At 49.5% G+C, this 21,711-nt stretch overlaps 1 protein-coding gene and 1 long non-coding RNA gene across 9 annotated transcripts, besides 4 other annotated features; one reads left to right on the top strand and one right to left on the bottom strand.

Moving 5' to 3' along the window:
• On the top strand, nucleotides 678-21,175 carry ZIC4 (Zic family zinc finger 4). 8 transcript variants are annotated; one of them, NM_032153.6, is made up of 5 exons: nucleotides 678-858; nucleotides 4,409-4,493; nucleotides 10,752-11,369; nucleotides 15,975-16,290; nucleotides 18,362-21,175. In NM_032153.6, coding segments are annotated over exons 2-5 (1,005 nt in total). In that variant the 5' UTR covers nucleotides 678-858; nucleotides 4,409-4,423; the 3' UTR covers nucleotides 18,363-21,175. The 8 variants fall into 8 exon arrangements, 5 of the variants coding, with proteins under 5 accessions (NP_115529.2, NP_001230185.1, NP_001161851.1 ...); NM_001168379.2 differs by lacking the exon at nucleotides 678-858 and adding an exon at nucleotides 1,701-1,848; NM_001168378.1 differs by lacking the exon at nucleotides 678-858 and adding an exon at nucleotides 2,937-3,257 and having other exon boundaries at nucleotides 18,362-21,173.
• Nucleotides 10,755-11,492: an enhancer, noted in NCBI's record as "H3K27ac-H3K4me1 hESC enhancer chr3:147113516-147114253 (GRCh37/hg19 assembly coordinates)". NCBI's record gives its function as "activates a minimal SCP1, AML or CMV promoter by ChIP-STARR-seq in naive H9 embryonic stem cells {active_cell/tissue: H9 hESC(naive)}" and the evidence as "EXISTENCE:reporter gene assay evidence [ECO:0000049][PMID:30033119]".
• Nucleotides 13,342-13,843: an enhancer, noted in NCBI's record as "H3K27ac hESC enhancer chr3:147111165-147111666 (GRCh37/hg19 assembly coordinates)". NCBI's record gives its function as "activates a minimal SCP1, AML or CMV promoter by ChIP-STARR-seq in naive H9 embryonic stem cells {active_cell/tissue: H9 hESC(naive)}" and the evidence as "EXISTENCE:reporter gene assay evidence [ECO:0000049][PMID:30033119]".
• Nucleotides 15,713-16,227: an enhancer, noted in NCBI's record as "H3K27ac-H3K4me1 hESC enhancer chr3:147108781-147109295 (GRCh37/hg19 assembly coordinates)". NCBI's record gives its function as "activates a minimal SCP1, AML or CMV promoter by ChIP-STARR-seq in naive H9 embryonic stem cells {active_cell/tissue: H9 hESC(naive)}" and the evidence as "EXISTENCE:reporter gene assay evidence [ECO:0000049][PMID:30033119]".
• Nucleotides 16,228-16,744: an enhancer, noted in NCBI's record as "H3K27ac-H3K4me1 hESC enhancer chr3:147108264-147108780 (GRCh37/hg19 assembly coordinates)". NCBI's record gives its function as "activates a minimal SCP1, AML or CMV promoter by ChIP-STARR-seq in naive H9 embryonic stem cells {active_cell/tissue: H9 hESC(naive)}" and the evidence as "EXISTENCE:reporter gene assay evidence [ECO:0000049][PMID:30033119]".
• On the bottom strand, nucleotides 18,315-20,359 carry ZIC4-AS1 (ZIC4 antisense RNA 1). The gene is made up of 2 exons (NR_046703.1): nucleotides 20,122-20,359; nucleotides 18,315-19,902 (listed from the first exon to the last, which is right to left on the bottom strand). It is a non-coding gene; the product is annotated as a ZIC4 antisense RNA 1 (long non-coding RNA).

Here is a 21,711-nt window from a genome sequence, read left to right as displayed (position 1 = left end):
CGGGAAATATAAATTCGGAAAAAAAATTAATTGTTCTGTTCCCATCAACAAGTCTGAGTCTAGCAGCCCAGCATTTCCCACCAACTTTGAGTGGAATGGAATGAGGAGTGGAGGTAAAGAAAGGGCCGAGGTATCTTTAAAAATTATTGTACACTTGGTTGGAAAAAAAAAAGATATATCGGAGGCACTAAGTCTTTTTACCTACAAGGGGAAGTTGGATCCTGCTTCCCCTGGAGTTTAGAAAACCTCATCTGTATGGAGAAGTTTTCTCTAGAGGCTGTATTCCTCTCACTAGGGAGAACAGATATTGAACCCACCTCGCCCGCCTTTCAGGAAACACACGCGGGCGCACACACACACACACAACAAGGGAGGGGACCTAAGGGGGGAAGGGTAGCTGTTGGGAGGGGGAGAGGGAAAATAATTCTTCAAAAAAGAAAAGTCAGTCTTCTCCTCTCCAGTCCGTGGAAAATCCAACGGGGACGTTGACAAGAGGGTATTTTTAGGAAACACATCCAAATATACAGGGTAAGAGTGAATGTGAGAAAAAAAAAAGTTGTGGGTTGTAGAAGTTATCAAGTGGGATTTGCGGCGCTCTCTGCAGGAAACGCGAACGGCTCCAGTTCAAAGCCACATGCACCAACGTGACATATAAGCCATTAAAATATCATCCTGACGGCTCATTTCTGCTTCATCATACATTCCCTAACTGCTTCCTGAAAGCTGGAAAAGGAGAAGTGAAGGATGACCGCCTCGCTGGAACCACAAAAGAGAGGCTTGGAGGGGTTTGTGGTCCCCTCTCAGCCACCCCGAAATGATGTGCAGAAATGAGGCGATCCTGGCAACAGGTGGAGTGGGGTAAGTGCGTGAGTCCAGGGGGCAGACAGATGAGAACTGTACCTCCAGCGACCGGGTAGCAAGTACCCTCAAGGGGACCACTGGCACCCAAACCCCAGTGGGGGAAGAGGCCCAGCCAGTCTTTCTGCCCCATCTCCTCCTTCATCCTACCCCCCTCCCCCAACCGTGGATAAAGGCCCCACCCCACTGACACTAAGGGGAGGAGGGGGCCCTTCCGCAAAGGGGCAACGCAGAGGATGAGTCCATCCCTTCTTCCCAGGAGGAGGGAAAAGGGGTACAAATGGGGCTCCCACTGGCACAGGAACCAGGAGCAGTTTGTTGCCTGCCTGCCTTCCCTTCTCTCCTTGTGAATTGCCTGGGTGCCCCACCGTGGGCACAAGAATGGAAGTCGTGGCCCAGAGCTTCCCTCGCGAAAAATGAGCAAGGCGGGTGCCGGGAGGGGGCCTTTACAGGAGGTATCTCTGCTCTGCCCCCAAGGGGGTGGCTAGGAGAGTCTCTGCTTCCCCTCTCCAGGGTCAAAGCGCCAAGTTAGCCCAGATGGCAGCAAGACGATGGAACTTCTCCGCCCCAACCTGACGGCAGATGCCGCCTGAGTCCACCTCAGGGCGGCTCCTTGCCCTCCCTCACCCTGGTCCTGCCTCAGGAAGCTGACTGCTGGGATCTGCTCTCTGCGCGCGGCCAGCAGTGGGTTCGGGACTTGGCTTTCTTTATCTCCAATGCGAACAAGAGCAGCAACTAGCTCTCTGGGGAGCAGGCCGCAGCTCCTAGGATTCTGGCCCCTAGCCTAGACCCAGGGGCATTGGAAATTAGGGGCCAATGAGGAGGGAATAGAGCTGAGCTGTGAAAGAAAGCTAGGACTGGCTCAAAGGTTGGATCTGAAAGTTGGGGTTGATGAATGGCCCATGTCAAAGTCTTAGGAAAGCGGAGGGGCTTTTGGAGGGTTGCACTTCGGCCGTCACCGTCTTCAGGAAACTCCCTTTGGATTCCAAGGTCATGTTTTCCCCGCTTTCCGACAGTATTGTCCTCGCAGCGACCCACACCACTGCATGCTGCTCTTTTTTCTCCTGTCTCAGCCGCCTGCAGGTTGGGGGAGGGGTGATTCAAAGGGAGGGCTAAATGCCCAGCCTGATCTACTGATACAAACTCTATTCTGGGCACCCGGATGCTGCCCACACTTACTTCAGCCCCGAGCTGGGAAACCCAAGCTTCTCCCTCTAGAGAACAGGAGAATGAGTAAAGGCCCCTGCACAACCCAGCCTCAGCAAACTCCTGGCGCTTGAGGGTCGAATGGAGGGGAGCCAGAAAGGTGCAGGGTGCAGATGAGTAAATCAGGCAGCGGGCAAAGGCCGGGGCCAGTTTCCTCTCTGGCTCAGAGCTCCCTGCCAGCTTTCAGGGTTTTTGCTCTGCGCCCGCCAGGGACAAGTTGCAGCGGAGAGGTGGGCATGCCTTTCCCGCGCCTGCCGGCTAGTCAGTAAGGAGCAGCTCGGGAACTGAAGTCTCTAGCTGCAGCTGACCTCTGACCTTGGGTAGTCCTGCGCCGGCTAGGTCGGCCCCACAATTTGCAGCTTCCGAGGCTCCCCCAAATAAAAATGGTGCTTTTTGCACCTACCCACTGTCCCACCTTCTTGGCTCTCCTCCGGCACTATCAATCACTGGAGCTCCCTGGCACCCGTTCCTCTTCTCAAGGTGGGGCCAGGAGGGCAGATTCCAAAAAGTCTCCAGGATGTGCTATGGACTGGTAATTAGGAGGCCGTGGTTGATGTGGGGAGCAAGCATTTGGGGAAAACGAAACTGAGTTTCTACATTCCGTGGTTGTTTGGGACCTCAGGTCCACGGGCCCCAGGATTGCTCCCAAATTCTCTCACCTCTCTTTCAGCAAGATGACTGGCTTGTTTGCTAAGTGGTGTCAGAGTTTGAACTAAAGGAGATGTTTACCCTAGTTCCCTGTGTAGGCTGTGTGATGGAAACGCTACAGAGAGCCTCCTAAGGTCCCTGTTGCCTGCCCTAGTCCAATCTCTGCAATATTTGTTTGCATGTCTATGGGTCTGTAGTGCACAAAAGGCTGACAGGACCTGGGAGAGAAGTGATCCAGACCTCTTAGAAGTTGGGTTGGGGCTGCCTTATGGGTGGACAGGGATCTCTAGGGAACCTCACACCCATTTCCCCCAGAAGCAAAAGAGTAAATTCTATTATTGCCAACCAACCAGGACTTTTCCATGCCAGACATCCTGCCATGAGGAAATTTCAGAGCGAGGACGCCCAGCATGCCGCCCTTCTGTAGGAATGCAAAGTTAGGCCTCCTTTCTTTCCTGATTTGTGCTGGAAGGAGCTTATTACCTTTGGGGAAGAATGCCTTTTGGTTAGAAAGAATTGAAAATAATAATACCCTCTGGGAAAAGGTGAGTCTACCCCCCTGCCTCCTAGGCCTGGACCTAGAAAAGAGGGGAGATGGAAGGGTAAAAGCCGCCAAGCCAGTTGGAATTCTGGTTGGACGTTGAGGGGGAGAGAGAGAGAGAGAGATCTTTGTGCATAGAGAACTGGATACCGTTTAAGATAACAGAGTCCCACTTGGATTTGGCCTGTGGTTCAACAAGTTAAACAACTGCTTGTTCTGTGGGCAGACATCCCCATTGACAGAGGACTTGCTGTGTTTGTCCAGCCTGAGACCTTTTCAATGACTGTTTTTCTTTCTAGGCCAAATTGAGGGTGGGGGCCGGATAGATGCTTCTGTCTGGCTGCTCAACTGCCTCAGCCTTGCCTGACAGATGCAGAGGTCCTCAGGATGGCTTTAAGTATTTAAGGCGGCCAATGGCTTGGTAACTTTAGTCACAAAGTGAATCTGATGAGTAATGTGTATATCTTATGGGAGGTGTTATTTCTACCCTTCTCAACTATGAAATGTGGATGATTTGAACCAAACGATTAAAATTATACCTTTTTAACCTGACAAATTTTATATTAACTTTAAAAAGTCAACCGGTGATGAATCCCAAATGGGTCTGGGGTATGGGAAATGTGAGGCTAAGGAATTCTGCACCACCACAGGCAGAACAGGATTTGAAAACCTGCAAAGAAATTCCTCTCCTCTTGGTTCCAACAGTTATAAATCAAATTTTAGCTGCTAACCTCTCAGAGTTCAGTAGGCTCTCCCCACCACACCTCACTAAATTTCAGTTAATAAACTTCTGAAAAATAATAAGGTTTCTTACGCAATTAATTCAAATTTGGGAAGCTACAGATTTTTGAGCACTGACTAAAAGAGAGATTACTTCTGCTTGCAAAAAACAACAAAGGAGTTTCAAATAAAAGCCTAGCTGGGAAATTATAATTTTTCAATGTTTTTATCACCAAAGATATATCATTTTGCAATATGGGCTGTTCCCGGCAAAATCCTTTTCTTTAGCTTCAAAATTTGAAAATGGTCAAAGAAAGACCGAAAGATCTTCAGATCAACTCCTTCTTTCATTCATACATTCAAACCACAGGATGTTGCCACACAGACGTGTAAAATTGTTTAACTAGTGACTGTCACTCTTTTCTTCCCAAACAGGCTCAAAGTCAGAAAATGAGATACAAGACATCCTTGGTGATGAGGAAACGATTACGGCTTTACCGAAACACTCTTAAAGAGTCAAGTAAGTTAAAATCCTCCTTTGAATATTGGTTTGCTGGTTTCTTTTCTTCTTCTTCTTCTTTTTTTTTTTTAAGTAGGAAGTTTTGTTTTGTCTTTTGTTTATGTTGGGTTGAGAGTTTGGGGGGAGTTTCTTGAGTTCAAATGAAACTTAGAACTCCTTAGTGTTCAATACATTTGCACACAAATCAATGACACAACGTCCCACCAGCAGCCAGCTAATCCCCCTCAATGCCTACTCATCTGGACGTTCCAGAATTAATATTTGACGATTCTCTCATTGAAACAACCACCCCTGACCTTCTGCAATTCCACTGTCACGTTATTCTGTGACATATTCATCTTGAATTCATTTCCAGACAATTTGATTGGAATGAGGTTTGACATGTATTGGCTTCCATGAAAGAAGCAGACTTTGATCTGGATGATGGGGTTTACATGATATACATCATCTTTACCAGGGATACCAGCCTTCTGCAATGTGGTAGTGACGAGGTTCCCACAATGTGGTGTCTGAACAGGGAGTGACTGACAGCTGCTCTGTCAGGAATACCTTCATTGTGAAGAATTTAATTTAATATTCCATTTAGAATAAGCATATGATTTAGGGTGGTATTTTCCCTTCCAGGCGTCTAGTTTTCCTCATTTCAACTATATCACTAGCTGATGGTTGCCTCCAAAGATGTTCCCTCATTGGTAGACAAAGGAACCTTCCTAACCAAAGTCAAATAGACAACCCAGGAAATGGCTCTCTATATTATCTGGGGATGATTTAATGGCAAAAGTCTCAAGAGAGGTATGAGTTGTTATGTAAATTCAGTTGTTTTGATTCTTTAATACTGTTTTGGAAGACCCAAAAGCAATGTTTCCTAAGCTTTTGTCACAGGATGTTTTGTAGAATCCTTGCTTGGAAATTAAAGCATATCCAAGTATATTTTCTTCCATACTCAGTTCCATTAATGATGTTTAAAACTCAAATTTCCATAGCAGAGGAGAAGAATATCCTCTTTTATTGCCAAAATCCTAACAGATCTCATCTCCTTTGCACAATTTGGGCTTAGAAATACGGATGGCCTCCTGGGGCTTATGTTATTTCTTTGCATAAGAATAGAGGCAAACTCCCTGTGTAGGAATCTTGAAGTCTGTTTGTGACTAGCCTCTAAAGAAATTTACCTCTGTTTAGGGTGGCAACCTGGCCAGAAACAGGGAAGAAAGAACTGAACAAGTGACTATTGATTTAGTGCAGAACATTCAGATGACAAGACTTGTTTCTAGCCAGGTTCTATACAGTGGCCCTCAGCTGAGTAAGGCCCACCTCCTGATCTGGGCATAACTTACAATAAACAATCATCATTTAATTTAGCATTGCTTAAAATATTAAAATGGAAAAATAGCCCAGCTGTTGATCTGAAATATCCTCCATTTTTTTTTCTTTCCAAGGCAGTGAGATCAGACATTCAAACCAGTGATTTAAGGAGCTCTGGCAGATGGTAGGGCCACCAAATGTTCTATTTCTAGAAAAGAACTAGGAAATCACTTGTTTATGCCACTGCATTCGTCTGGGTAGGTGAGCAAAAGTGCTTAGGGCATGATTCTGGGCACTGGTTTGCAGAGGCTCTGAAGATCAAGAGATATTTGGGGTCTAGTGGTGGAATATGCTCCAAATAGGTCCCCAAGAAAACAAGCTTCCAGTGTTTCATTTTGACATGTGCTAAAGATCTGTGGGTTGTGAGATACTCTTTTTCTCTACAAATGAAGCAGAAAAGTAGACTTAACAATGTTATATCTCCAGGCATGGGTAGGAATAGAATGTTTCAGTCAAGCATTTGGTGTTGGGGGCAGGTATAGTGAGATGTTTCTGGAAAAAAAATCTGAAGAGCACTGAGGAGACACCATTCCTTAGCCAGCCCAATTGATAATCTCTGTAGCCTGGGTTCCCTGCTTCCCAGGCTCTGGAAGACTCAAAATGATCTCTCTAAAGACTAAAATATACCTCTCAGTTGTTGATGCCCCATCACCTTGAACTGGATACTGCTTTGGGGCTTATTTCAAAGATATACCTTGAAGATCCTTATGTAATCCCTTATTGCTGTCTCTGGGGAAATGTCCTTCGAGGAGAATGTCTGGTCCCATTGCTGGGTTTAGCCAACCAACATATAGACCATATAGCTCTAAGGAACTTGCAAAGATCAGGCAACCTCAGTGACCTGCAGGTCTACTGACCCCTGGCTACTCAAGCAAGAAGAAGCTACCTAAAATGGGTCCAGATGTTTTCAGCTTTCAAGAGAAGGCTGCATCTGGGAAGGAGCTCCATGGGGCCAGCCTACTCTCCAGGATTTTGGCTGAATCAGATGTGTTTGCCCTTTTGCTGCTGGCACAAAAAAGTCATACACAAGTTCAAAGCTTTTCAAAGGCAAAGTGACTAACAGAAAGTGTGTAGTATGCTAGCAGACTATGTGTATAAAACCTCTGTTTCTTAACCCTGGAGTCCAGAGAGTCAGTGGTTAGAATTCCAGAGGGCCCATAAACTTGGAGGAGAAAAAAATGCCTCTTTATTTTCACAACCTTCTATTGGAAAGTTAGTGTTTTCTTCTATGATGAATATGTGCAGCAAATACTGGACTATTAGAAGTTCAACAGACTCACCAGGCTTCCTAAGGGTTCCACAGCCTGAAACAACTAAAAACCCCTCTTCTCCTATCTGTCCATACTGTTATTCAAAGCTTTTGATGGAGGTGGGGTCACAGTGTATATATTAAGAAATCTGGCCGGGTGCAGTGGCTCACGCCTGTAATCCCAGCACTGTGGGAGGCCGAAGTGGGCAGGTCACCTGAGGTCAAGAGTTCAAGACCAGCCTGGCTAACATGGTGAAACTCCGTCTTTACTAAAAATACAAAAATTAGCTGGGCATGATGCTGGGTGCCTGTAATCCCAGCTACTTGGGAGGCTGAGGTGGAAGAATCGCTTGAACCAGGGAGGCAGAGGTTGCATTGAGCCAAGATGGCGCCATTGCACTGCAGCCTGGGCGACAGAGGGAGACTCCCTCTCAAAAAAAAAAAAAAAAAAAATCCGTGTTTTTGCAAATCAGAGTCTTAAAGCTAAAGTGAGTTTGACAAACATTCTGAACTGTTAGTTTTAGATTACCTAGGGTCCAGCAGAGAAAAAAAATTTTAATTGCCGAAATATTGCAGAAGTTCCCCTGCACTTAAACCTGAATACCACATAAGCTGAACAAGTTTGGTGTTAAGATGCGGATAGTAAAAACAACTGGGCAAGGAGTCTCAGGTAAAAACATACTCTGGCTTTTGTTTTGCTTTTTGGAGTCCTTCATGGATTCAGTCCAGAGTTGCCTAGACAATTGCATCATTCAACATACACCTGGGAGGTGAAATGACTCATTGAGATGTGTAAACCTTTCACTGGAGACCTGGCCATGCCACTGCTTGGATGAAGGATCAGAGCAGGGGAAGGATCAGAGAGATGGTGCCTGTTGGTGGAGGAGTAAACCATGGGAGAAAGTGAAAGCCAGGGAGACATATCCTGAGAGTCTAGTCACAAAACTGCTGTGTGGAAGCCCTTGGTTTTGAGAGTAGGGAGTGGGGGTCTGGCAGTCAAATACTCTTCTCTAATTTTTTTTTTTTAAATACTGAGGAGTATCTATTGGTAGAGTTATCCAAGCTCTTCCTGTAGGAGGAGCAGAAAGACCTGGACGTGTCTAAGTAGAGAGAAATTGTTGTGGAAGTTAATCCCTCCCTAAAGTGCACCCAAGGGAGGAACAATGCATTAAATGAAGGTCTCAAAGAATCTGCCAACTGTTATACATCAGTTAATTATTTTAAAAAAAAATTTTTTAAGGCCTTATTTACTGACCAGGAAATGTATAAGAATAGTCCTTGGTGCTGGGGATGGGAGGAGGGGCAGTTCAGTCAATTTCTATTCAGCATTGCTGGTATCTGCCAAAATTTCTTGCCTCTGCTAAGGGGTATGGGATATTTTACTCAATCTTTAAAACTTTTCTTAAAGATACAAGCCTTTCTCTGTTTGGGGGACACTTTTTATGGCCGCCAGGGAAGCCCAAGCACTTAGACTGGCATTTTCGGCTGCAGCGACAAGGCAGGAGTCCCGGCCAGCAGCCCTTTAAATCGCCGGACGACGCAGCTGACCTTAGCCGGTCGGCTCAGACAAAGGACTACCGCTCGCCCCCAAAGCCCCCCAACCCCCGACCCTCGGCTTTTGCCACACTCGACTGAGCCAGAACTTAAGTTTTTTTTAACCAACCGACCCCCATCCCGCCAAAGTGGCCCCCCTAGCACTGGAAGGCATCTTGTCGGAGGCGGCCACGGGCCTGCAGGCCCTCTCAGAGCCTGGAAGGGGAAACGCGGCGTGCACTTTCTACAGAGGCCTAAGACGAGGTAGGAGGAAGCAGAGAAGGCTTGGACCGCAGGCAACAAGTAGCCGAAGCTGAAAGTGGAAGTCACCCTTAAATCCCCTTTCCCAGAGGCTCCGTACGACTGCGGGGTATAGCGCTCAGGATCCCTGATTTGCCCAGGGAGATCCGAGAGCGAAAACCTGTTTCTCCTGGATCCACGCCCGACTCCTTTGTTTCTTTGGCCAGCAGGCCTGCGGGTGGGTGTGACTTGTGGCGGGGAGAGTCCTTTCAGGAAGGCACGGGTTCGAGCCCAGCCTTTTCAGGCCGTCACCACTTCCCGCCTAATCCCGTCCCTGGTCAGGGCCAGATCCTTGAGTTTCGCGCGTCTTTGAGCTCTCCAACACCGGGGAGGAGGGGCCTGCAAGGCTAAATGGGAAGAGAGTATAGAGGAAAGAGAGGGGGAGGGGAGGAGAAAGGAAGACGAAGTGAGGTAGACGTTTTGGGGAAAATAAGAGAGACGAAAAGGACCAGAAAGATGAGGGAAACGAGACATTTCGGAGAAAGCCAGAAAATAAAATTAGGCTCAACGGCTGCTAGCCTAGGAGTTTCTCAGCTCCTGGCTCCTGAGTCAGCAACCTCCTTCGGTCCTTCGATCCCGACCCCCTCCTCTTGCAGGCTGCAGGGACAAACTGCCCAACGAGACCGCCATCTCTGCGCACACGATGCTGCCCATCAGCCCCGACTGAGGTCCCGCAATGCTGCCTCCCCAAAGTTGTGGTGAATGGTGGCATAACCCAGCCCCGAGTACTTCCAGGAGCCCTGAGTCAAAGCTGATCCACTCAGCTTTCCGGAGAGGAGGGGGAGGAGGCTCAAGGGGAGAGAAAAGGATTTGTGCCCGGGTCAGAGCGCATGAGCAGTGGAAGCTTGAGATGCTGTGGGGGTGGGGTGAGGGAGGGAAAGAGGGTATATGTTTGGGGGAGAGGTGTGTGAGGGGGTGGCGGTTGGAGCAGGGAAGTGTGAGAGAGAGAGAGAGAGACCGACCGCGTGCGGCAGGACCTGTCATCACTGACGTCGGACCCGGCCGCGGGCCAATGGGCTACCCAGGCGATTGTTCCTCTCTGTGGGTCCAGGCCACGGCCCTGAATCTCTATTGACTTCCTAACGCGCCCTGCTGCTACTTCTGTAGTGTGCAGGATTTCGCGTAGGCATTAATAGCCAAGGGGGTGGGCGCGCCCAAATCCAAACCTTGGGAAGAAGAAGAGAAAGAAAGAAAGAAAAAAAAAACTTTACAGAAGTTTTTTTGTGTGGTTTTCCTTTCCCCTCCCCACTGTCAGGTGGCAGTGGTGTTAGCGGCCCGGTACAGGGAGCTCCGGGGAGCGTGGGTCGGCAAGCAGCCGGCCGCCCTCTCCTAGCCAAGCGGGGCACTGAAAATATATATGGCTGGGGCGCTTCAGAACCACCACCACCTCCAACATCATCATTTCTGTCACCTCCACTCCCCGCAGGGCATCGTGCCCCGGAGAGCCCCGGGGTGTTAGCCGCCAAAGTGCGCTTGGGGCTCAGCTCCTACCCCTCTGGAGCAGAACCCCCAGCAACCCACAGACTCAGCCCTGCGCCTTCCATTACCCCTTACATCTACTCTGCCGCTACCATCCCTCTCTAGCTCATGGCGCGGCGGGGGACTTGGCCCAACAGCAATTCGGCCCAATGGCGGCGGAGGTGTTTGGCCTTGCTCTGTCCACCGGGTTCACTGCTGGCGCTGTCTGGCTCTGAGTTCCACGGCTGACTGCAGAGGCCGTAGTGCGGCAGGGCTGGGCCTGCCCCCCGGGGCCCAGGGAAGAGCGCGCAGCCCACGCCACCCGTTCTCATGCGCGCTATTTGTTTCGACAACAGGTAGCAGCTCTGGACACCATGGCCCCCAGCTCACCGCCGCCTCCAGCCCCTCGGTGTTCCCGGGCCTCCACGAGGAGCCTCCCCAGGCCTCCCCCAGCCGTCCTTTGAATGGACTCCTGCGTCTGGGGCTCCCTGGAGACATGTACGCGCGGCCGGAGCCCTTCCCGCCAGGGCCTGCGGCCCGCAGCGACGCCCTGGCAGCTGCCGCAGCCCTGCATGGCTACGGGGGCATGAACCTGACGGTGAACCTCGCTGCGCCCCACGGTCCTGGCGCTTTCTTCCGCTACATGCGCCAGCCCATCAAACAGGAGCTCATCTGCAAGTGGCTGGCGGCCGACGGCACCGCGACCCCGAGCCTCTGCTCCAAAACTTTCAGCACCATGCACGAGCTGGTCACGCACGTCACCGTGGAGCACGTCGGCGGCCCGGAACAGGCCAACCACATTTGCTTCTGGGAGGAGTGTCCGCGCCAGGGAAAGCCCTTCAAAGCCAAATACAAACTTGTAAATCACATCCGCGTGCACACGGGCGAGAAGCCCTTCCCTTGTCCTTTCCCGGGGTGTGGGAAGGTCTTTGCTAGATCAGAAAATCTCAAAATACACAAACGAACTCACACAGGTCAGTATTCGGCGCTGTCTGTCGCGTGCGGACCCTCTGGGGAAGCAGGCCCTCGGGTCTGGATTTCCTCAAGTCCCAACTGAGGGGAGGGGGAAATATTTTGGGGTTGTTTCCATGAGCCAAGGCCATAAAATATTAATTATGCGCTTCTATTCTTAGAATCACAGAAGTTTCCGGAGGCTGTGTGTAGGGAGGATAGTGCGGGATTTCTGTTCTGGGGGGGACAAGGGTGAACGTGCCTAAGACCCTGTGTGTGCAAACATGTGCTCTCTGCTTAAGAGTTTGATTTTAAGATATTTTAAAACAGCATTGTTCCCCAAAGTCGTAAAGACATAAGAACAGCTGTCTAACTTTTTTCCTTGTCCCTTTGGAATTGCGCAGCAGAACTCTTCCACCTGTAGTCCTGATAACCTGGCCCACCTGGACTGAGAGGTTACCAGGCCCTGGAGCCTTCTTTAGGAGTTGGGGGTCGAATGGGCTAACTTTGTACGTATTTTTGAGCCTTGGTGGCCGGACACTAGGGATGTTTGGTGGACCCTCACTTTCGCTTTAGCACAGACCTATCCACCTTAAATATCATTTACCAAGCTGCTAAGGGAAATGGGGACATGTGTCAACTACATCTGCTACTTCTAGTTAACAGAAAAAAAGGAGTATCGTTCAAGAGCCTGCAAAATTGAACTCCTCTGGCCAGAGCATCTCTAATTAATACAACTGCAAGGAGAAAGTTTTCACACTTCCAGAACAGCCTGTGAAGTTACATTAATTAGTTTAGCAGCCATTGTTTGTACTCTCCTTAGTTAGGGTTTTCTCGCTCCTCCTCCCTGGAAGTTTAAGAAATCAACATCTTCTCCCCTCCCCCATTTTGGGGGCGGGAGAAGGGGACTGGTGGGGACAGGAGAAAATAAAATGAATTCCAGCTTGGTGCCCCACTTCTCCTACTGCCCGGTGCCTTGCCTTACTCGCCCCTATTCTTGCTGGAACATCGACAATTGTTGGAGTCAAAGAACTTCCTAAGGCTAGTTGTTCTAACGCCTATCTTCTCCCCAAACTCTCCCTTCCCGGGGAAGGTCCATGGCCCGGACACTGGCACATGCGGAGACCAGACCAAAGTCCACTTGGAGCCTGGCACTTTATTTCTAAAGCTTGTCTGGAAGTGTACGGTTTCCCTGAGTTCTTTTCAGGGTTTCCCACAATGTCGCATGGATCTCACCCCCTCACCAGAGGTTTTAGCTTCGGGAAGGGGCGGTAGGTCACACTGGAATCCTGGCCCCAGGCCTGCTACTCCGGGAGCTGGCGGCGGACACCCGGAAGGTAGACTCGCAGTCCTGAGCTGGAGAAGGAACTCATCTTTAATGACAGGGTTTTTTTTTTTTTTTTTTTAAACAAACAAACTTTTACAGCTCTTTGCCGGCCCACTGTTTGAATTCTGTGAAGCAGAAAATGGTTAAATTCTTAGCACAGTCGACCTACAGCAGAGAAGCAAGTTCAGTGCGCCACGGCTGGCTCAGGTTTTCGTGTTTTCAGGACAGAATTTTGTGCGTTCTTTCGGTTCGCGGTCCTGATTCATTAGCGGTGGGGGGTGGGGGAAACAACAAACAAAAACAAACAAACAAACAAACACGACCAACAACGAACTACAGAGTCTGGCCTGCTCGGGCATTTCCCTCAAATCCCCCTCCTAGTCATAAAAAGAAGAGAGAGAGAGTGAGAGAGAGAGAGAGAGAGAGAGAGGGAAAAAAAATATTTCTCAAATGGCAATAGACCTCACTACAAATTATTCATGAAGACAGTTCTCGATTCAACAGGAAAATAATTGCCTTTTCAAATATTAATGGCGTTTCATTTCCTCGAGTAGCAGAAGCGGCAAACAGGAGCAAATTTCTCAGGAGCTGAGATTCTCCCTGACCTGAATCCGGGGCCTGGCTTTGAAGGCGACTGTCCGCACCGAAAGGATTCACTTTGTGGCGGTCACAGCGATCCCGGAACAATGGTGCCTCGGGGAGGGAGGCGCGGGCCAGCAACCGCGCTCGGCCTGGCCACCGCCACCCAGCTCCTCTCCAGGGACCCCTCGGCCGGGGCCGGGAGCTCACCACACCTTCCCCGGCGTCTGAGGGCGAGTCAGTGCTGGGGATCCGAGGTAGAGGAAAAGAGACCGCGCCGGGGCGCAGTCGCCGGGACAACCAGATCCAGCCACAAGTGCGAGAAAATGGCGCTGGCCCAGCTAGCCCGAGCTTCCGAACTTTGTTCGGCGGACCCGGCTCAGGGTCGGAGAGGAGGCCTTTCAGGACTGCTGGGCCTCTGGGATGAGAATCTGGGTCTTTCACAGCGCAGCCCCGGGCCTAGGACGCTCCGAGCGGGCTGCAGGGGCCTAGCCCAACGCCGCCTCTTCACATTCACCCACCCACCCAGGGCGCAGTGCAGGGAGCTGGAGGGAGGGGGAAGGACTGGAGGCCGGGTGTTGGCGGGGGGCGGGGGTGATGTCAAGCGCAGAGACCAGGGCGCCTCCTGCAGCTCCGGAGCAAGCTGGGGCGCGGCCTCACCTGGCCTCCTAGGGGCCTGCGAACTTCCCGGCTGCCGGTATCACTCAGTGCACTGCTGTTTTCTCCTCTGCTCCTCGTCTGGAGCGAAATAATTGTTTTTGTTTTACGTGAATGTCCAGTGAGGCGCTCACGAGATCGGATAAGCGTTTGGCGGGATTTTTGTTGGGGGTGGGGGTTGTTGGGGAGGGGCACCAAATTCTAATTCCATTTCACCTCTGTTTTCTCAAAATAACCTTGGTTCTTTTGCAGGCCCTGAATTGTATGTTTTTTGTAATTTTTTTTTTTTTTTTGAAAGAGAAGAAGGAAGAAAGTTTTGGGTTTGCAAATGCTGGCAGGAATCAGAGGAGATAAAAATGGGGGCAAATAGGAACACTGATTTATTCCGCATCTTTCTATCACTGTTTTATAAAATGGTGCCAGTGTCCCGCGAAATGGCAGGTGCCAACACCTTCCAGACTGTTCAGTGTACTAGCTGTGCTCCTGTAGGGTGGGAATCCAGCGACCAGGTGGTGCCGGAGACCCGGGCTCAGGAGCCGCTGATTGCGCAGAAGCGCAGGTTGTGCGCAAACCTCTCTGTCCGAGCCTCAACAGGGCTCGGGAATTGGGGCTTTGTTTGTTCTAACCAGCCCCAAAGCGCCTGTTTTTCCTGGATGCGGCGGGAGAAGCAACTACAAAGGCAACAGTTCTCCAGCTGCGCGTCTTCCTCCTCAGCTAGACGCTAGGTAGCCGGTCCCTTAACTCAGAGCGCTGGGAGGCAGCCATTTGTTTAAAGCGCCCAGAAACCTTCTTCCCCCATTTCCGCAGCACTTGCAGCTCCGGCAGGAATCTAGGCTTCCGGGTTCTCGGGGTCCTTTCCTCTCCTACACGTCAGCGAATTCAGCTGGCCGTGAGCTCCCCGATTGGGGCTCGGTCCGGCCAATATTGTCACTCTAACGTGCACTCGCGCCTTCCCTCGGCTCTACAGGGCATCGCAGCCACCGATCCCAGCCCCTCCCCGGCCTATGCCAGCCGCCTGGTGGCCCTCCGGGCTGCGGAGCCAGGCCTGGCCTGACAGCAGCAGCTGTTTTCTTCCCGAAGCCGCAGCGCTCAAGGGCGTGGTTGCGGTAGACACCTCGGATCCCATTTGGCCTGTGCGGACCCTACCGCGCCAACCCCTCGTCTTAGGACCGAGAGGCCCGACAGCCAGGTGGGGGTGGTCTGGGCAGACCGGTCGACATCGCAAGTCAGTGCGGACTGGGAGGGCCAGCTGCCCACAGCACGGTCTCCAGGAAGCCTCTGGAGCAGCGTAATGAAATATTATTACTGGCGAGCGTATCTGGAGGGATCCCGGAAGGTTTAGGCAAGATTTGAAGAATGCTGCTAAATGTTTGCCCTCAGGGGGTAGAAGGAAAGAGGGAGGGGGCTCCATTCCTGTAAAAATCTCTTCTGAAGTGAATCATTGCTCAGAATACCTCTCCCTGCAGCACGAATCCACTTTATGCACACACAATGTGCATCGGCTGCGCATCCTTAAATTATTTCATCGCTTTGGCGTTTGCGCAAAACCTACTTTAGGAAACAATTTGGGCCAGGATGGGGGTGGGTGGGGGGGATGAACGGCTGGGCGGGGTAGCGGCAGAGAAGTTAGTCTGAAACAGCAACTTTAAATCGAGCAGATGTGAGCTTCCCCGTTAACTATATTGTGAGCTCCTCCGTTAATGTATTTCCGAGCAGAGGTGCTTCTGGTTCCAAGTGGAGAAAATTTGGAGGAAACAACCCGAGTGGATCAGGATTTTCGAGGATGGAAACTCGACTAAGATGGAGTCACTGTCGCTCCTCCTCCATACCCTCCCCATGAGCCCAGAGGAGGAAGGCGGGAGGGATGGAGGCGTTCAAGAGAGGGCACCGGGGGCGCTCTCTGCACGAGGGAAAGGGGTGCTCGACCTGAGGCGCCGTGGAAAGGGATTTCTGAAAATATTTTGTAGTTCTTTTCCAGAAAATGAGAGACGAATGGGGGAGGGTGGCAAGCACCTGACGGGAACACGACCCACAAGCACTAATGTCTCTGCGTTGCCTCCGCCAGGCGAGAAGCCCTTCAGATGCGAGTTCGAGGGCTGCGAGCGGCGCTTCGCCAACAGCAGCGACCGTAAGAAGCATTCGCACGTGCACACTAGCGACAAGCCATACACGTGCAAGGTGCGGGGCTGCGACAAGTGCTACACGCACCCCAGCTCGCTGCGTAAGCACATGAAGGTGCACGGGCGCTCGCCGCCGCCCAGCTCTGGCTACGATTCGGCTACACCGTCTGCCCTCGTGTCGCCCTCGTCGGACTGCGGCCACAAGTCCCAGGTGGCCTCCTCGGCGGCGGTGGCGGCGCGTACCGCCGACTTGAGCGAATGGTACGTGTGTCAGGGCTTGGGCCCCATAGCGGCTGCCCCCGCCGCGATCCTCAGCCCCGAGCTACCACCTGGCCCTGCTGCTGCCGCCGCCGCCTCCGGTATTAGGGCTGCCTCTGTGATTGCTGCTTCCGCACACACCGAATGCAGAGTAGGCCACGTTTCTGAGGCATGAAGAGGGCGAGGGCGGAAGGAAGGAAGGCCGGCCGGCCACCTGTAATAGTTGCTGGAGCTCACTGAATACGCTAATATAATGTCCATTATTTTAGAAGATAAATATGGTCCCCCTATTTATTCTGTAGTCACAATCAGCACCATCACCCCCACACGCGCCTTCATGACTGGGTATCATAAAACCAGGGTTAGGGGCGAAAAGAGACAGGGAGATGGAAAAAAAAGTTGGAGAATTTATGTGCAATCCTGTCAACTGCAGATGACAAAAGTAAAGCCACAGATTTCCCGCATGCTTCGCAGAATGGGAAATATTTTTCTCGAGGACTGGGCCGCTCCCACCCCCACTCTAACCCTCCCCTCCCCCACATTAATTCCAACCTCAGAAGTTCAGATCAAGGGAAGGGGGCAAAGGGAATTCCAGAGCCGTTTTCTTGACTCCAGTTTCTTTCCTCTTTGCCTTCCTATGGTTTCCCCTTCCCTAGGTATCCTTTGAAACAAAAAACACACAAGTCCTAATTTTTCCAACCTCCTCTATAAAGGAGGTAAGGGAGATTCATCGTCTTTTCAGCAGGGGGTGGGTGGGTGGTGGTTAGACGCTTCCACCCCTATGGAGTGGCCTGGGCACACAGATAAACATCTGCCTGTCGTCCACAGACTCAATATACATTGTATACTTGGAGTAGGGAGTGAATTCAAAACAACAAGAAATACAGACAAAGGAACACCAGAGAGGCTTCAGGATTCAATGCTGTGAGGCCTCCCCGGGCCTTTTTCCCACCCCAACCCCTGTAGAGGCGTTGCCTGTGTAGTCTTGTAGGTGCTTGGGCTCCGGGTGTAGAGCGAGCTGATGACGTCACTGAGTCGAAGCCTCTAAAGTGGAGAGACCTGACCTAGGCGGCCGTGTCTGGGTGAATTGCGTCAATTCGGTGATGGTCTTTGTTAGTAATTGCACAATGTTCGTCTTATTTTTAAAAAGGTGTAGGAGGAACTAGAGAAATGATCCACAATAATAAATATTGTAAAGGCAAACACCCAGTGGGTCTAGATTGAATGTGTATTTGATATGCTGCGTATGAAGTCCCCAGAAAAAAAGAACCAGATGTTGAAGGAGGGGGCGAGAAAGGCCTTTGCAATTGCGGCCAAAGGGAAAAAAATCAGGTCCTTTTTCCCCCCTCCCCCCATCTGCAGGGAGAATGCGGCTGCCCCAAAATCCTAGCTAAGACTTGAAGAAGTAAAGGAAAATAAAATAATAAAGCTTTGGCAGACTCATCTCAGTTCCCTAAGAATTTGAAAATCAGTGTGTGTGTATTGGGGAGGGAGGTAGGTTTTCTCTCTGGGGAGGGCCCCACAAAAGACCTCAATTTTAAAATCTGAGCCCAGCAAACAATTCCTGGCCCTGCCACTGATGAATTTTCTTCTGCTCTATCCTCTTCAGACGCAATTAGACAATTAGCACTCCTGCCCGCAGCCCCCACAACTTTCATCAGATGAAATAACATCCTAACTGGAGTGGAACTATTTTCATGACTCCAAATAAAAAATGCAGTCTTCCAAATACACCTTTAGTGAATCCGTCCTTGAGAAAGGGGGACTGAAATTCCTGCCTACACCTAATACAATAGGGCCCAGAGGCTGCCTGACCCAGCGCGGGCAGTCGGCAACAAACAACTCCTTCCCATAGTGAAACACCAACCCCACCACTAAGGTGCAGAGGGCATTTGCGGAACTTGCTGCTTCTGCCAATGTTTAAAAAGTCCCCCTTCCTGAAGTAGGACTTTTTTCTTTGTCTTCTGTTTCTAAGCTCCCCATTTTGCTTTCTATCTCAATCTAAAATAATGAAATAAAACAAAATGTTTGGTCGGCCACTAATCGCCTTTAATTTTTCATTTGCTTGTTACAGATGTCCACCGCGTTGCTCGCAAGGTAATCTCGCTCCGCGCAGCTGAGCGCCCCGCATCTCGCGCCTGCTACATCAAAGGGCCCGCGCACAAAGCAGTGTTTCTTCGCCACGGTGCATCTTCATGGTAAGTTAGGATTTCTATGGCAATGTGCAAGTCGCACTGAAATCCTGAAAGGCCAAGCCTGGAGCCCGTCCAGGCTTTTCATTAAGGACATAATATTTACGTCTAACAGACCTTTTTTCTTGTGTATACAAGTATATATTTTTGTTTGACGCGGACTAAATCATTTTCATTTAATTTCCGGTAAACAAAACCCACGCGAATGGGCACTTGTACCCGATCATAATAAAAATGGATAATAATGTGAAGGAAGAAAAGAGCCGCTTGAATCGCCGCTCAGCCCCCTTTGTTTCTGCTTTCTGCGGTGATCAGAGGGCGCGTTTGGGTTTGATGGCGAGTTTCTAAAGGCGAGGAAATGGTTTGTAAGAGGGGAAAGAAAAGGAGAAAGGTCTAATCAAGCTCGGGTTGTTCAAAGAGTCGGGTTTTGGGGTTGAAAGTGTGAGTTTGACGGTGCATCAGCATGCCGCGTTAGGCTCGCCATGGAAATACGCGCGGGGAGCGGCCGCTTCAAAGGCGGCACACTTCACTACAGACACTCTATTAAGATACATTTGCGCTGACCTTTGCTTTCACGCCATTTAATACTGTCACTGCGCTCTCCAGTATATACTTCCTTTCTAGAACCCGACTTGCCCACGTTTAGGGGTTCACTCTGCACCCTGATGTGGGAGGCTTTGGCGCAGGGGACACTTTCAGGAAAGGGAGGAGCACAAGGACTCTGTGCATCTTGACTGCACCCCAAAGAGGCTCCAGGATCAGGAGTGAAAGATTTTAAAGCAGCCTCCGAAGCTTAACAAATGAGCATTCCAAGCTCAGTTTTGTGCAAATCGCCTTTCTGACTCTTGAGTAGGATGGAGGCTTAAATTTAATGGCGACTTGGGGGGAAGGGAGCCACCCTGGGGGAGTCTGAGGAGTTCAGACTGTGCCCTTGGGAATTTCCACTCTGGCTTTCCGTGCCACTCTTCTTCCTTTCCATCCCAAAAGTCTCTTGCGGCCCCTGAAACTTGTTTCTTTCTAAGGCAGGGTGTGTGGTACCCTTAGGCCTGGACTAGTCCTAGATGCAAACTCAAGAGCCCAAGGCCAAGGGGATGTGGGGAAGATGGCAGGAAAGTTAGAAGTCCATGTTCCCTTAATTGTCTTGTTGTTTATTTTATCCAAGTACCCCAGTGAATAGGGGAAAAATAAACACAGTGAAAAAAAAAATCAAACAGTGGAGTCTTCTTTAGTGCCAGTCCTTGTGGTTGAATAAAAAGGATGGTCCGCTTTCTATTGAGCTGAGAAATCTTTGAAGTGGGAGTTATTATCTGAGACATTCCTGCTTGTCGTCCTAACAACGCTGATGAAACGTAAAAGGTTCTTTGTCAGCGATTTGTTCTCCTCTCTGTCAAACTCCCTCTGCCCCGTTAGTTTCAAACCGTTTCTAAAGAGATAAAAATCAAACTTCTTTTAAAACAATATCCACACACTGCATCAATACATAACTTTAGGTCTAAGTCTTGCTAAGGGATAAACAAAAGCAATGCCTAGACATCAGGGTCAGGGCCTGGTCTGGTGAAGTATGCAGAAGTTGGGGGGCCCTCGGGACAAGCTTTGGGACATGAGGAAAAGAATGCAGAGAGGGTGCAAGCAGAATACATACCCTAAGTCCATAATTGTGTTTCTGCTTCTTTCTGCTCTGGTTTGCATTCAATCAGCCCAAGTTGGGTCACATAGATGGGTTTCCTTTGGGTACCCCTCAGGCTCCTAATATTCTTGCCCAGGATCCTTGGAACTTAAGAATGCAGCCAAGCAATTGTTAATATCTCCTGCTCCTTCAAAGCCACCTCTGCTAAAAATAGACCCATTGTGTGTTTCTTCTCACTAGCAGCAATCAACAAGCCCTTTCTGCCGTTAATAAGAAGGAGAATAGCTGAAGGAGAGAGATATTTTATTAATTTCCTGTTTCCTTCAGAATCTTGGCAATTGAAGTTTAGAAGGTTTGGTCTACAACACAGTGATCGAAAATGCATGTAAATGCCCATCCTTCCCTTCATTCACGTGTGAAGTTGTTCATTTTATATTGTGCCCAGCAAAGAAACTTTCACCCAGTTCAGGTTTCCCCAAAACTCCTGTGGTGGTTTTAAAGGTGGTTTAAATAAATAAGGATGTGCTGGTCCCCCTACTCTGTGTGTGCTGAATAAATGGCTTGTAAAGAAGTTTTTCCAAGCTGTAACCCATGCTGTTATTATAGTTGCTGCAAAATGTTCTTCCTGATATTGATTTTATTTGTTAACTGAAGGTCTCCATATGTTTGTTTATATTGCTAATTTATGAGAAAATGTAATAATTGCAATGAATGTGAATTATACAGACAGGCAAACATTTTGTAATCATAATTCACATATACACAAAAGCCTGGCTGAAATCTTTAGACTATTTGTACCCTCTCTACCCACACTGTTTGTGATTTATCATCTGTCTCTTTAGTGTCAGTTAAATTATGAACTAACTTGAAAATAAAAGTTGTTTGACTGAAAGTGATTGTTGAATGAACAACAAAGTTGAAAGCCATGGCTTGATCTTGTAAATATATAAATGTAAATGATATTAAATCTGTGATTCCTTTTCCCTCCAAAGGCTTTTGTGTACATGGCGCTGCATTTGGCTATTTTCTTTGGAAATAAATAATGTGATGTTTCTCTTCCTCTTTTGAATCCTGGTGTCCTGTTATTGTTTCTTCATCCTGGACGAGATTCGAGGCCCTCCAGAAGCCTCCAATTCTCTCCTCAGTCTTTCTTCACCGCTTCACACAAATATCTCTGGGGGCCTAGTCTCAGGACAGCAAAATGGAGGGACCCCCTAAAGCAGCCATTGTGAGAAAGACTTCTCTCATCTCAATTTCACCCTAATGGCACTGACATCATCAACCAATTTATTAATACTTTATAGAATGGAAAAAGTTGAAAGGATCCTCTCAGTGTCTGCCAGGAAAGGCTACCTTTCTACATTTCCAGCTCAGAGCAACGTCAAATAACCACCCCTGAATTCCCAGAGAAAAGTCCAATAGCTGGTGGGAATCAAAACAAGGAAAGAAAAAGACAGGACAGTTCGGCTGTAAGACCTGAGTAAGCGCTGGTGGAGTGTCTGAGGCACAGTTGGCCGCAGAGATCTTCCTAGCTGGACCCTGCCCCCTCTGGGAGAAGTGATTGCTCAGACCTCAAGGCTCCATTCAGATACCTGCGCGAAGGCC

Source organism: Homo sapiens, chromosome 3 (assembly GCF_000001405.40).
Source record: "Homo sapiens chromosome 3, GRCh38.p14 Primary Assembly".
Lineage (NCBI taxonomy): Eukaryota > Metazoa > Chordata > Mammalia > Primates > Hominidae > Homo > Homo sapiens.
The sequence above is the reverse complement of the archived record's forward strand: the minus strand, read 5'-3'. Positions and strand labels throughout refer to the sequence as shown.